Here is a 13555-nt window from a genome sequence, read left to right on the forward strand (position 1 = left end):
CCCGAGTAGCTCAGATTACAGGCAAGAGCCACCATACCTGGCTCAAGTGGAAAATTTCTCTAAAGAGAAATTAAAATATGTTGAGTTTACCCGCATGTGATTTTTTTTTTTTAAATCAGGACAAATTACATAAAAACTGATAAGGCCGGCCAGGCACAGTGGCTCACACCTGTAATCCCAGAACTTTGGGAGGCCAAGGCGGCAGATCATGAGGTCAGGAGTTCAAGACCAGCCTGGCCAACATGGTGAAACCCCGCCTCTACTCAATATACAAAAATTAGCCAGGCATGGTGGCAGGTGCCTGTAATCCCAACTGCTCGGGAGGCTGAGGCTGAGGCTGAGGCTGAGGCTCCCACTTGAACCCGGGAGGTGGAGGTTGCAGTGAGCCAAGATTGTGCCACTGCACTCCAGCCTGGGCAACACAGCAAGACTCCATCTCAAAAAAGAAACCAAAAAAAATAAAAATAAAAAAACAAAAAAAACTGGTAAGGTCCTGCTACATCAAAACACACATAATGGGATAAATTTCACTTACGTGGCCTCCAGTGAAACCTGCAGGGAGGGAGCCACACTGCCGATCGTAGCATTCTTACTGGATTTGAGGGTGGGATGCTGATTTGGGGGCTGCGGCAGGGAAAGGGACCCTAGCCACAGCCTAGACCTTCTGTGCTTCCTGACCCTCCTTCCCTGTCCCCATTCTGGTGGACAATTTGGAGACAGACAGAAGGAGACAGAGGGATGAGGCTGTCATGGCCTCCTCTGGCCCAGTCCCTCAGCCAGTCCCCAGGGACCCCCTCATGTGGCTGTGCGTCGTCACTTGTGGACACCTATGGTGATGCTCTGCCACGGGAAGGTATTCATGGTCTGGGAGTGTGGGTTCTGAGTCCTTCTGTCCTCCCTACATAATTCAGTCTAGAAACTGGAGGGAGTTCCATTTTGCTCGCTGGAGTCACAGCCCTGCTGGGTTCTGGCTCCCCCTGGGGCAGTAACAGAGAAGGGGGCTCCCAAAAGGGCTGGTTGGACCCAATGGTCATTGTTCATCGGGAGCTCAAACGCTAGAGCAGCAACATGATGACAGCTGGTGTCCAGGCTACCATCTCACATTGTGGAAACCTTTTCCCCCCGAGGACAGGAATTTTGAAAGGAAGTCGGGTTTCAGGTCTGAAAGCCAAGGTGAAGAACCAGGAATGCTTTATTGTCACCCAGCATGCAAGCATGGAAGCAGGCAAGCCTTCCCTGAGACAGGGGAAGAGGAAGAATCATTCACCAGTGCTAAAGGAAGCAGGTGCTGCAGAGGAGCCAAGACCAGCAGAGCAGCGGGGCAGCCCCAAGGCCCCTCAGAAGGCCTCGGCCTGTGGCCCTAGGATGATGCAGGTGGGGGCCACCTCAGAGAGTGGCTTTCTGGTCCATGCATCCAAAAACAGCCTTTCCTGATGACCTGCCAGTGGGCAGCATCCCTTCCCCTGCCATGGCAGCCACTCGCCCATCTCCACTGCCCCTTGAGCTCTGTGATCACAGCTCTCCTGTCCTTCGTGTGACTGTAGTAACTTGCCTAAAGGCCTGCCTTGCCCATCTTTGCTGCAGATCTTATGTTCTGGTCATCTGCATCCCCTGACCTGTGCAAAGGGCCTTGCAGTGAATGCATGAATGAATAAATAAATGACCCCGAAGCAAGGAGGGACACTGTTATCACCCCTCTTCCTGCTGCTTCTGGAGGTCTGAAGCCCAGGGCTGGAGCTCTTCCCCACTTCCGTTCCCTCCTGATAGCAGCTGCCCCATCCTGTTCAAGCCATCGACTTCCTCACGCACTGGGGCCTCCCCGCTGGGCCCAGGCTTCCACCCCTCCCAGCCCGGGGCCCATTCCCCAGCCAGCAGCTGACCTAGTGATTCCCCTCTTTAAAAGCCTCCAATGCCTCTGTCACTCCCAGAATCAGTTCCAAACTGCTCACTGTGCACCACGAGGCCCTGGGTGGCCCGCCCTGTCCACTCTCAGACACCACCTCCTACCTCTGTCCCTGCCCTCACTCCCCTCCAGCCACCCTGGCCCTACCTGACCGTCCAATGTGCCTTGCCTGTCCCTGCCACAGGGCCTTTGCAGTGGCCGCTCCAGGCAGCATTCCTCATGTGGCTGTGTGCTGAGTGCCTCCCTGGCCTCCATGTCAAAGCTCACTATCTACCTCTTCAGAGAGGCCTTCCTGAAGCTCCATCTGTCCTTGTCCCCACTTGCTCCAGACATGCACTCTCCAGTCTGGAAGCTGCATTCAGTTGGTGAGCCCTTGAAACGGGGCCAGTCCAAAATGAGACCTGCTGCACATGTATCGTACACACAGGATTTCAAAGACTTCATGCAAAAACACTGCAAAAATATTGATGCCGTTTATACTGATTACATGTTGAAGTGATAATACTTTGCATATATTTGGGTTAAATAAGATTAAAATTAATTCCACCTGTTTCCTTTGACTGTTAAGTGGCTATTAGAAAATTTAAACTGAAAACCTCACACGTGGCTCACGCTGTATTTCTATTTGGCTCTAACCCCTCACAGCTCCTATCATGAGTGAAATTATCTTTTCTGCTGATTTACTTGGTTTTCATCTGTCTCCCCGGCTGGGATGCCAGCCCCCCTCAATCCCCCTGAGCAGGGATCTCAGCTGTCTCCTCTACTGCTGTACGTCCCCTCGCCCCTAACAGAACCTGGCATCCCCGGGTGCTGACTTGATGAATGGATGATGCAAGTACCAGGTCTCATTACTCAAAGCCCACCTGTGCCCCCTCCAAGGGAGGGTCCCAGGCCTTCCAGAACAGGCAGAGTAGTGGCAACGCGGCATGCAAAAGACGCAAGCGTGCTGCGCAGCCCCCAGCAGTGACCGCTCCCACTCCGGCAGAGACGCAGGACTGCTGCTGGAGGTGGGCTCCAGGCTGCGGTTGGCCAGAGGGTCCGATCTGAGGCCCCTTTCCCCCAGCAGGCAAGCGAATGGCTGTCAGCCCGGGCTGCCCTCTGGCCAGCACCTACTTGGCTCCGGATTTGGCAGATGACAGGGACCAGCAGCAGGACGCAGCCCAGCGCCAGGAGGACGTACTGGGCATAGTGCATCACCTTGGGCATCAACACCAGCTGAGTGTAGAATGTGTGAAGAGTCTCCCCCTCCATGGCCCCGCTCTGAGGAGACAGAATGACAAACACATGAGCTGGGGCCGCAGGCTGCGGGCTACAGCGCAGATGCCACCCAACACCTTCCTCTGTGCCCGCCTCAGCTTTTCCCCACCTCAAGCTTCCCGGCTAAAGCATGTGTTGGAGCCTGCCAGGGACCTCCTCCCTCCAGGACACAAGGTGAGACTACAATTCCCCGACTCCCTTGCAGTTGGGCAGGGCCATATGATCGTGTCCTGACCAATGGGAGGTGGACCTGGCCTCACGTGACTCTCCATCTCGTTCCCTGCCACTGAATGGAGGCTCTCCAGGATGGCGGGGCCACCGGGGCCCTGGAACCCTAAATGACTGCAGGGAGCAGAGCTCTGCCTCCCCATCAACCCACTTCAGATTCGGCTGTGAGTAGGAAGTAAACTTGACATTCGGAGGCTTGTTTGTCCTGGCCATTAGCTAGCCCTGATTTAAAACGAGGTGGGCAAGAAACAATAAATACAGTAAATAAAATAAAATAAAATAATAAAATAAAACAAGCTAGGCCAGAAGGAATTCTGAAAAGCTGCGAGAGAAGTAAGTTTAAGAGAAAAGCTGACACCTTGGAAACCAACTTCCCCACTTTCAGGAGAAGAGGTCATATGCCCCAACAAAATTATTTTACACCCAGGGCCAGGGACTTTACCTCTTCATGCAGCTTCTGTCTTCCCCATCTCTAGGGATCCCTTTCACCTTGGTGGGATAACTGACATAGGGTGCTTGGACAGGGTGAAGTTTCTGATACGCTGGTCCATGTCACAGTCCGGTTACCCTGGCTCAGCCCTCTCCCTTTCTACAAGCTGCTCCCCCCGCCTCCTGCCTCAAATGCCCACATTGGCTCTTAACAAAAGCCCCCGACGCTGTGCCCAACGCACCCTTACCTCTGCAAACCAGAGCAGCGGCAGGACCACAGGCTCAATCTTCCCAGTTTGTCTGGAAATAAGCAAGACATAGCTGTGTGAAACAAAGTCTTACACCCAAACTTGATCTAATTCTGCTTGAATACAACATCTAAACAGGTTTAGTATAATTTTGCACACACTAAACCCTCACCACCAAATATAAACAATGAGCTGAAACACTTTAGGAGCCATATGACAAAACTGTCCCCAGGCTGAAGGTCTCAGTCTACAGCCCTCAATAATACTTGTAAATAAGACTAACTTTAAATCTTTAAAAGGCGTTTTGTTTTTTTTTTTCTTTAGTTGACAAGGTGAGATGTTTTCCCACAGGGCTGTTTGACATCACACAGCTTTGAACCTGTGATCATAAGCTCTGAGGCCAGGAGGGATTTGATTCTGCAATCTCAGTCATCCCTCCTTATCCATGGTTTTGATTTCTGCCATTTCTTACCCTCAGTACAGTACAATAAGATATTTTGAGGGAGAGACCATGTTCACATAACTTTTATTATAGTATTTGTTATAATTACCCTATTCTTAGTTATTGTTAATTGTGGCTATGCCTAATTTATAAATTAACTTTATCATAGATGTGTGTGTATAGGAAGAAGCATAGTATATGCTATACAGGGTTCAGTACTATCCCCAGCTTCAGGCATCCACTGGGGGTCTTGGAATATACCCCCAGGGATAAGGGGTCCATGGTACTTGATTGGCATGGGCTGAGGGAACCAGTGTTTCGATGTGCTGCCAGAAGGAATCTCCCCTGGCAAAGAGCTTGACAACTTGAAAATAATCTTTTTAAACTAAAAACTCACATCTCCTACAGGGCAGAGACCACCAGTGACCCAGCCAAAATCCATTGGTCCCTTTTAGAAACAGGACCCAAATTTTACTCAGGATGGCAATGCACCCAGTTAAAGACTCCACTTCAGCCTCTCTTGTGGCAAGTGAGGCTCTGTGACCAAGTTCTGGTTAATGAGATGTTCGCAGAAGCGTTACGTGGGATGGCCGGGAGGGCTGCTTAAAAAGAAGCTTTCACAGCTGGGAGGTGAACCTTTTTTCCCTCCTCCCTTTCAGATGCCTGAAACGCAGATGCAAGGGCTGGAGCTCTGCAGACACTGGGACCAGAGGTGACCTTGAGGATGGAAGCCATGTGTTGGGAAAATGGAACAGAAAGATGAGTGGAACTTGGACTATGAATGTCTCTTGCCATACTTGGACTGTCTGCCTCCAGACATCCTCTAAAAGAAGATTTTTAAAATAACAATATACCTTTGTCCCATTTGAGCCACAACTGTTGAGTTTACTGATCTATACTGCCAAACCTAATTCCACCAATATACCTCACGACCCAGCAATTACGCTCTTCAGAAACTGCCCTAGAGATGCTCACACATGCACACAGAGGCACAAAGATGTTCAGTGTTGCTTGGACTAGCAAAGACAAACAGACAAACGACAATATGTATCTTCTCTATGGCCACATATATATGAATGTAAATAAGTAGGAAAAGGCCTGGAAGGAAGCACAGCAAATTGATGATGGTGGGTACGGCTGGGGATGGCGGGGAGTCACAGGAAACCATATTCTTCCCCTCAGGAAGATATGTTCTTATTACCTGTGAAGTTAAAACTTACACGTCAAGTTAAAAAGATAATAAAATCCAAAGGGAGAATAAAAGTAAACTTGATACTGCAGAAACGTCACAGGCATGACCTCATCCAGGCTATCAAGGTCGACATCAACAGTGATACAGTATGTTGACGGAATGTACCCAAGATGCTCTGAAACTGGAACTTTCTCTCTGCGGTCCTCCTCCCAAAACCCATCACCCCAGTCTAATCATGAGAAAAGCACCAGACCAATCCCAGTAGAGGGTCATCCTACAAAATACCTGACCAGTGCTTCTCAAAAGTGTCACTGTCATCAAAATGAAGGAGAGATGAGAGACTGTCACAGCCAAAAGGTGCCTAAGGAGACCGGAAGACCAATGCGACACCTGGGAAACTGTGACCTGCCACGACGAAGGGGACCGTGCAGACATGACTGCATCAAGGCTCTCAGATGGGGAGAGCGTCCTGGAATATCTAGGTGGGTCCATGCAGATATGGTTACATCAAGGTTCTGAGATGGGAAGAGTATCCTGGAATACCTAGGTAGGCCCCAGAGAATCACAAAAGTCCTTAAAGAGAGAAGCGGGAAGTCCTAGCCAGAGCAATCAGGCAAGAGAAAGAAAAACGAAAAAACAAAAACAAATTTTAAAACCCTAAAAAAAGAAAAATTAATTTTTAAAAAGAGGGGCTGGGGCGTGGTGGCTCACGCCTGTAATCCCAGCACTTTGGGAGGCCGAGGCAGGTGGATCACAAGGTCAGGAGATTGAGACCATCCTGGGCAACATGGTGAAACCCCATCTCTACTAAAAATATAAAAATTGGCCGGACGTGGTGGCACATGCCTGTAATCCCAGCTACTCGGGAGGCTGAGGCAGGAGAATCACTTGAACCAGGGAGTCAGAGGTTGCAGTGAGCGGAGATCATGCCATTGCACTCCAGCCTGGCGACAGAGTGAGACTCCGTCTCAAAAAAAAAAAAAAGAGGGAAGCAGGAGGTTAGAGGCAGAGAGAAATTGGACAGTGCTACACTGCTGGCTTTAAAGAGGGAGAGGCCAAGTGCAGTGGTTCACGCCTGTAATCCCAGCACTTTGGGAGGCTGAGGTGGGAGGATCACTTGCACCCTGGAGTTCAAGACCAGCCTGGGCAACATAGTGAGACCCCTGTCTCTACAAAAAAAACACAAAAATTAGCAGGGTATGGTGGCACATGCCTGTAGTCCCAGCTACTCAGGAGGCTCAGGTGGGAGGATCGCCTAAGCCCAGGAGGCCAAGGCTGCAGTGAACTATAGATCATGCCACTGTACTCCAGTCTAGATAGCAGAGCGAGACTGTGTCTCAACAACAACAACAACAACAACAAAACAGGGAGGGCTAGGATTAAGGTCATGAGCTAAGGAAAGTAGGCAGCTTCTAGAAGCTGTAAACGGCAAGGCACAGGTTCTCCCCTGGAGCCTCTGGAAGGAACAAGGCCTGCAGATACCTTGATCTTAGCCTTGTTGTGTTCCTTTCAGACTTCAGACTCCCAACACTGCAAGATAGTTTTTAAAAGTGAGCCATGACATTTGTGGCAAAATTGTGACAGCAGCAAAAGGAAATGAATACAGCAACTCACACTCAGTATGGAGCAGCAGGGTGGGCTGGCTCACCACTTGCCCCACACAGACCCCCCCACAACAGGTGTCTAGCAGAAAAGGCAGTGTGGCGAGGTGGTTAATAGTGCACACTCAAGCGTCGCTGCCTGGATTTGAATCCCACCTGGGCCGCTGTGCAGGCACGTGCTCACGTGGCAGGCCCGAGCCCTTCCACCCCACACAGGCTGCTGGCAATGCTGGCCCGGAGCTGGCGTCTGGGAGCCTGGATTCGGGAGGCCTCCCATTGCTCCCTAACTGACAAGGATGGCTCACTGTGCCTGAGCAATCTGTACAAGTAATGTGGTTTATACTGACCACCAGCTTGCCTTCTAAGGGTCTGGAATTTCAGTACCTGCCAGGCAGAGGGTGGCCACATGACCAGCCCCTAGTAAAAACCCTGGGCACTCAGTCTCTCTAGCGGGCTTCCCTGCCAGATGACATGTCACGTGGGTTGTCACAACTCCTTGCAGCAAGAATTGGGTGACTCCCCTGGGAGAGGGCTCTGGAAACTGGCACCTGCTTTCCTCTGGACTTGGCCCCGTGTGGCTTTTCCCTTTGCTGATTTGCTTTGAATCCTTTTACCGTAATAAATCATAGCCACGTGTACAACCATATGCTTCGTCCTGAGGCTTCCCAGCAAATCGTCGAGCCTGCGGTGGCCTTGGGACCCCTGACACAGCCACTTACGAGCTCTGTGACCTTGGGCGTGCTACTGAGCCTGTGTCCCTTCTGTATAAGCGAGATATTATAACGTAACTCTTCCTAGGACTCTAGGGAGGATTCAATGCAGTAATACATGTAAAGTGCTTCGAAAATTACCCGGCATATAAAAGTGCTTGGCACATTTATTATTGTTGTTGTTATAATTGTTAAATCCCAGCAAAGAAATGGACACACAAATATTCTGTCACTTTGCCATGCACAGCAGTAGGGAGGGGAGATGGAAGTCACTGAGGGGCGGTGACGAAAGTCAGCACAAAAGGCTCAAATACCACAATCAGAGACCGGGCGCAGTGGCTCACGCCTGTAATCCCAGCACTTTGGGAGGCTGAGGCAGGTGATCACCTGAGGTCAGGAGTTTGAGACCAGCCTGGCCAACACAGTGAAACCCCGTCTCTACTAAAAATACAAAAATTTGCTGGGCGTGGTGGCGGGCACCTGTAATCCCAGCTACGCGGGAGGCTGAGGCAGGAGAATCGCTTGAACCCGAGGCGGAGGTTGCAGTGAGCCGAAATCGCGCCATTGTACTCCAGCCTGGGCGACAAGAGCAAGATCCATCTTAAAAAAAAAAAAAGGCTGAAATCCCCCAATCACAATTATTGGAGGTCTCTCAGGCCCCTTGTTAAGTAGGGTATTGCACAGTGAAATGGGCTCACACTATCACCCTACAGAGGACGAAACACGATGGGGAGACAACAGACGGTACCATTTACTTTGGCTGCTTTTCTCTGAAAGACTTTGTAAGAACCAATGGGAATTGTATTCAAGTAACATGCAACCCCACTGCCTTTACCTAGCGAGCAAGGAGCACAGAAGCTTCCCCGACAGGTCACGAGACAGCTCTGCTTCCCGGCAGCTGTGTCTCTAGACTTTTCCCACGGCCATCCCTCGTGGCCCTCCACATCTGCTGTTGAGACCACTTTCCTGGAGTGCCTTGTTCCCAGTCCACAGGGAGGTCAGCAGCTGTGCGGCCCAGAGAGGTTGGGTGACCGGTCCACAGGTCACTGGCAGGCACAATCCAGCTGCCCGCGTGAACTGTTTGTTAAGAATGTGAATTAGGCCCAGCGCAGGGCTCATGCCTATAATCCCAGCACTCTGGGAGGCGGATCACCTGAGGTCACAAGTTCGAGAACAGCCTGGCCAACATGGTGAAATCCTGTCTCCACTAAAAATACAAAAATTAGCTGGGTGTACTAGCGAGCGCCTGTAATCCCAGCTACTTGAGAGGCTGAGGCAGGAGAATCGCTGGAACCCGGGAGGCAGAGGTTGCAGTGAGCTGAGATCATGCCACTGCACTCTGGCCTGGGTGACACGGCAAGACTTCGTCTCAAAAAAAAAAAAAAAAAAAAAAAAAGAATGTGAATTACCTCCCAATAAGTAAAAATTGACAGAGCTCCTGTTAAAATTCAGATTTGGAAGTCCTTTTGAAAAATGCAGAGGATGTGGCCACACTGAGCCCGCATTTCCATGGGGCTACAGTCAGCTGGTGCTGGGAAGGGGCTGTATCCTCGGCCCCAGGTCGCCTCTTCTATCTGGTCACCCACTTGGCCCCAGTTGCATCCCAGTTAGCAGCCCAGGTGCCACGCGGTGGAACCAGAGGGAGGACTTGGGCTGCAAACGCCTCTTCCATGCCTGGGGCTGTTTCCCCACCCACAAATCCATCAAGAACAAATTCCCTAAGTGGCCTCAAAATATAAAAATAAAATGCAAGGGCGGGATGAAGGAAGAGAGCTCACAGTTATTACTCGCTGCCGTGCTCTGACAAAGTGTTATTCTTTCCAGCCGAGAGGCATTTGACAAAGCTGAATAGATGCTCACATTCCTGCAACCCAGGGATTTTTCTAAGAGAATTTTTTTTAACGAAACTATTTCAGATATGCTAAGAAGTACAGACACTGACATAGCAACAAATCAGTATAATCCCTCACCAAGTTCTAGCAACGTGTAATGTTATAGCAAGTGCTGGTGCGCGTGGGGAGGAACTGGAACCCTGCTGCACTGCTGCTAAGAATGGGGATGGGGCCGGGCGCGGTGCTCACGCCTGTAATCCCAGCACTTTGGGAGCCCGAGGCGGGCGGATCACGAGGTCAGGAGATCGAGACCAACCTGGCTAACATGGTGAAACCCTGTATCTACTAAAAATACAAAAAATTAGCCGGGCACGGTGGCGGGCGCCTGTAGTCCCAGCTACTTGGGAGGCTGAGGCAGGAGAATGGCGTGAACCCAGGAGGCGGAGCTTGCAGTGAGCCGAGATCGCGCCACTGCACTCCAGCCTGGGCGACAGAGCGAGACTCCGTCTCAAAAAAAAAAAAAAAAAAAAAAGAATGGGGATGGGGGGCAGAGGCTGTGCAAGTCTGACTGTTCCTCAAACGGTTAAACAAAGAGTTAACATAGGACCCAGCGATTCCACCCCTCGGTACATACCTAAGGAAAACGAGAACAGATGTCCACACTGGGACTGACACAAGAACATTTACAGCTGCATTATGCATAACGGCCCAGGCGTGGAAACAACTCAAACGTCCATCAACCGATAAATAAATGTGGTCTATCCAGACAATGGAATATTATCCAGCCATAAAATATACTGATCCATGCTACGACATGGATGAACCTTGAAAACGTGATCCTAAATGAAAGAAGCCAGTCGCAAAAGACCACATAGTGTATGATTCCATTTATATGAAATGCCCAGAATAGGTAAGTCCGCAGAGACAGGAAGTGGATGAACGGTTGCCTGGGGCTGAGGGGACAGGGAAGTGAGTGTTAATGAGTGTGGGGTTTCTTTTGGGGATGATGAAAATGTTCCAAAATTGATTGTGGTGATAGATACACAATTCTGTGAATATACTGCAAATCACTGAATTGTGCATTTTATTAGGGGGGTTATTTTTTTTATTTTGAATTGTGCATTTTAAAGGGGTGAGTTTTATGGTACATGCATTATATTTGCATAAAGCTGTTTTATTTTAAAAATCAAAAAGAGGAAATCAGTGCTTGAAAAATTCTTTTTTTTTTTTTTTTTTGAGACGGAGTCTTGCTCTGTCGCCCAGGCTGGAGTGCAGTGGCGCGATCTCGGCTCACTGCAAGCTCCGCCTCCCGGGTTCACGCCATTCTCCTGCCTCAGCGTTTCCATTTTCAAACATTTGGTTTTGCCAGGCTTTCATTTCTGCCACTCTGTCGTGTAGGAAACAGCTTGGATTGAAGCTCTGGCTAATTGGCAGGGAGGGGGTGAATGTTAAAAAAGAAAAGTGAAGGCCGGGCACGGTGGCTCACGCCTGCAATCCCAGCATGCTGGGAGGCCCAGGTGGGTGGATCACTTGAGGCCAGGAGTTTGAGACCAGCCTGACCAACATGGTGAAACCCCATCTCTACTAAAAATACCAAATTAGCCGGGCGTGGTGGCACATGCCTGTAATCCCAGCTACTCAGGAGGCTGAGTCAGGAGAATCGCTTGAACCTGGGAGGCGGAGGTTGTGGTGAGCCAATATCCCGCCCTTGCACTCCAGCCTGGGCAACAAGAGCGAGACTCCATCTCAAAAACAAAACAAAACAAAACAAAAAAGAGAAAGAAAAGTGGTGTTCTGGGGAAGGAATATCAGGATGCAGGTCAGGACCTGGCTCAAAACCAAGACCCCTCAGGGAGAAGATCAGCAGGGACTGGATTCCACCCCCAATAGGACCCTCTCCCCTCCCCATGCCCTGGTTCCTGGGGTATGTCACTGGAGTCTGGGACCACTGGAGCACTGAGCACCTAATCTCTCAATGAGCAATGCAGCCCCAGCTCCCAGTCCCCACTCACCCAATGCCTGCGACAGATTTCATGTAGAGGCTCAGCTGCAGTTTCACAGAGCAGTTCATGGGGATTCCCGTGACCTGCGGCAACAAACACAGTGAGGAGACTGGCCACCCCCAAGCTCCAGGGACACCGTCAACCCTCCTCTCCCTGGTCCCAGTCAAGAGGGTGGGCGTCCCAGCTAACTGCCCAGTGGAGCTTGCTTGTATCTTACCTAAAACAAGCCACAGGCTGGGGGGGGTCAACAGTTCTAGAAATGCTGGGCAGGTGCACTGGGATCTCCTCTCCTGATTCTAACCCCTTATAGGGAAACAAGTGCTTCCCACACAGTTATGTTCACAGCCTCAAAGAGGTTCCTTCTATAAAGCAAGGCTGTCTCAGGGTGGAAAATACCTAATCACTTTCACCTGTCCTCCTAAGACAGCGTTTCCCAAAGTGCAGAATGGCAATTTGTCCATGCTCCCTCTCAACCTCCACATTCAATAAAACAGACAAAAGTCCCTTCTCAATTCACTCCCAACTCCTCCTGATCATTTTGAAGAGTAGGTCTCAGCCAGGTGTTTGCATGGTCTTTAATACCCCTCTAATACACCTACACAAAATCTCCACTTCTAACAATGGTGCTGACAGCTGGCCCCAGGTTCACTCCTGCTGACAGACAACAATATTTTACATAGAGCCTAATATTTTTTTCCTTGTTCATTTTTATGGTTGTCTTCTTTTTTTGGAGAATTTTGTAATTTCCTATTTGAGGTAGTAAGAAAAAGCTTCCTTTGTGCAGAAATTTATTTTTATTTCTTTTTGAGACAGAGTCTTACTCAGTCATCTAGGCTGGAGTGCAGGCAACCTCTGCCTCCTGAGTTCAAGCGATTGTCCTGCCTCAGCCTCCCCAGTAGCTGGGACTACAGGTGTGCGCCAGCACACTCGGCTAATTTTTGTATTTTTAGTAAAGACAGGGTTTCACCATGTTGACCAGGCTGGTCTCAAACTCCTGGCAGCAAGCGAACTGCCCACCTTGGCCTCCCAAAGTGGGATTACAGGCGTGAGCCACCACACCCAGCCTATTTATCATTATTATTTTTGTAGAGACAGAGTTTCACTATGTTGCCCAGGCTGGCGTCAAACTCCTAGCCTCAAGTGATCTTCCTGCCTCAGCCTCCCAAAGCAGTGGAATTACAGCCATGAGCCACTATACCCAGCTCTTTTTAACGAGACTTTTTTTTTTAAGTAAATAACCGAAGTGACACACATGTGTCATCAAAAACAACAGGAAGGTGGTTCCAGAATGAAGTCAGGAAATGATAGTGGAAATAAAACTAGATTTGAGGTCAGAGAACTGCAGTTGGTTCTTCTTAACTGAGAGTCGCGTCCTCATCTGTAAAACAGAGAGAACTCTCCCGACCTGACAGAATTTTTGCAAGAGCAAAAGTAAGGTATGCAAGATAGCCACACGCAGGGCCATAAATGCCTAGGTTATTATCACGTACACTATAGGGAAAGGATGTTTTCTTCATTATGGCCCAGCATGCTGAGGACCTTCCAGGCCCCTGTGGCAAAGAAGAGCTCATTAAAGGCCTCACTTACGCCCACGACTGGGGAGTGCTTGCCCTCGAGAGCCTGGTGGGATGGGCATGAGATCACCCGTGAGTAGAACAGAGTTCACGCCACAGGCCTGAAGCTGCTCTCCTTAGGAATTCTGCTGGCATC

At 49.9% G+C, this 13555-nt stretch overlaps 1 protein-coding gene and 1 long non-coding RNA gene across 21 annotated transcripts in view, besides 3 other annotated features; one reads left to right on the forward strand and one right to left on the reverse strand.

The window, feature by feature from the left end:
* SCARB1 (scavenger receptor class B member 1) overlaps positions 1–13555 on the reverse strand; it is an 87009-nt gene that overhangs the window by 6485 nt on the left and 66969 nt on the right. For 11 of the 20 annotated variants that reach the window (NR_160420.1, NR_160422.1, NR_160424.1 and 8 more), the window contains 3 exons: positions 11855–11928; positions 4066–4117; positions 3017–3163 (listed from right to left, as the gene is read on the reverse strand). Coding sequence is in view for 11 of the 20 variants with exons in the window: in NM_001367988.1 (NP_001354917.1) it covers positions 3017–3163; positions 4066–4117; positions 11855–11928 (273 nt within the window). In the remaining 9 variants the exon portion in view is untranslated. Of the gene's footprint in view, positions 1–2362; positions 3164–4059; positions 4118–11854; positions 11929–13555 lie in introns of those variants that run through there. The other 9 variants (NR_160418.1, NR_160421.1, NR_160419.1 and 6 more) reach the window with 6 other exon arrangements.
* Positions 906–1674: an enhancer, noted in NCBI's record as "H3K27ac-H3K4me1 hESC enhancer chr12:125268792-125269560 (GRCh37/hg19 assembly coordinates)". NCBI's record gives its function as "activates a minimal SCP1, AML or CMV promoter by ChIP-STARR-seq in naive and primed H9 embryonic stem cells {active_cell/tissue: H9 hESC(naive and primed)}" and the evidence as "EXISTENCE:reporter gene assay evidence [ECO:0000049][PMID:30033119]".
* Positions 2969–3469: an enhancer, noted in NCBI's record as "H3K4me1 hESC enhancer chr12:125270855-125271355 (GRCh37/hg19 assembly coordinates)". NCBI's record gives its function as "activates a minimal SCP1, AML or CMV promoter by ChIP-STARR-seq in primed H9 embryonic stem cells {active_cell/tissue: H9 hESC(primed)}" and the evidence as "EXISTENCE:reporter gene assay evidence [ECO:0000049][PMID:30033119]".
* LOC124903046 (uncharacterized) lies at positions 3423–7944 on the forward strand. The gene is made up of 2 exons (XR_007063510.1): positions 3423–3552; positions 5167–7944. It is a non-coding gene; the product is annotated as an uncharacterized LOC124903046 (long non-coding RNA).
* Positions 11809–12009: a silencer, noted in NCBI's record as "peak2031 fragment used in MPRA reporter construct". NCBI's record gives its function as "represses an SCP1 promoter by STARR-seq MPRAs in K562 erythroleukemia cells {active_cell/tissue: K562}" and the evidence as "EXISTENCE:reporter gene assay evidence [ECO:0000049][PMID:32103011]".

This window comes from Homo sapiens, chromosome 12, assembly GCF_000001405.40.
Source record: "Homo sapiens chromosome 12, GRCh38.p14 Primary Assembly".
In the NCBI taxonomy this organism is placed as follows: Eukaryota; Metazoa; Chordata; class Mammalia; order Primates; family Hominidae; genus Homo; species Homo sapiens.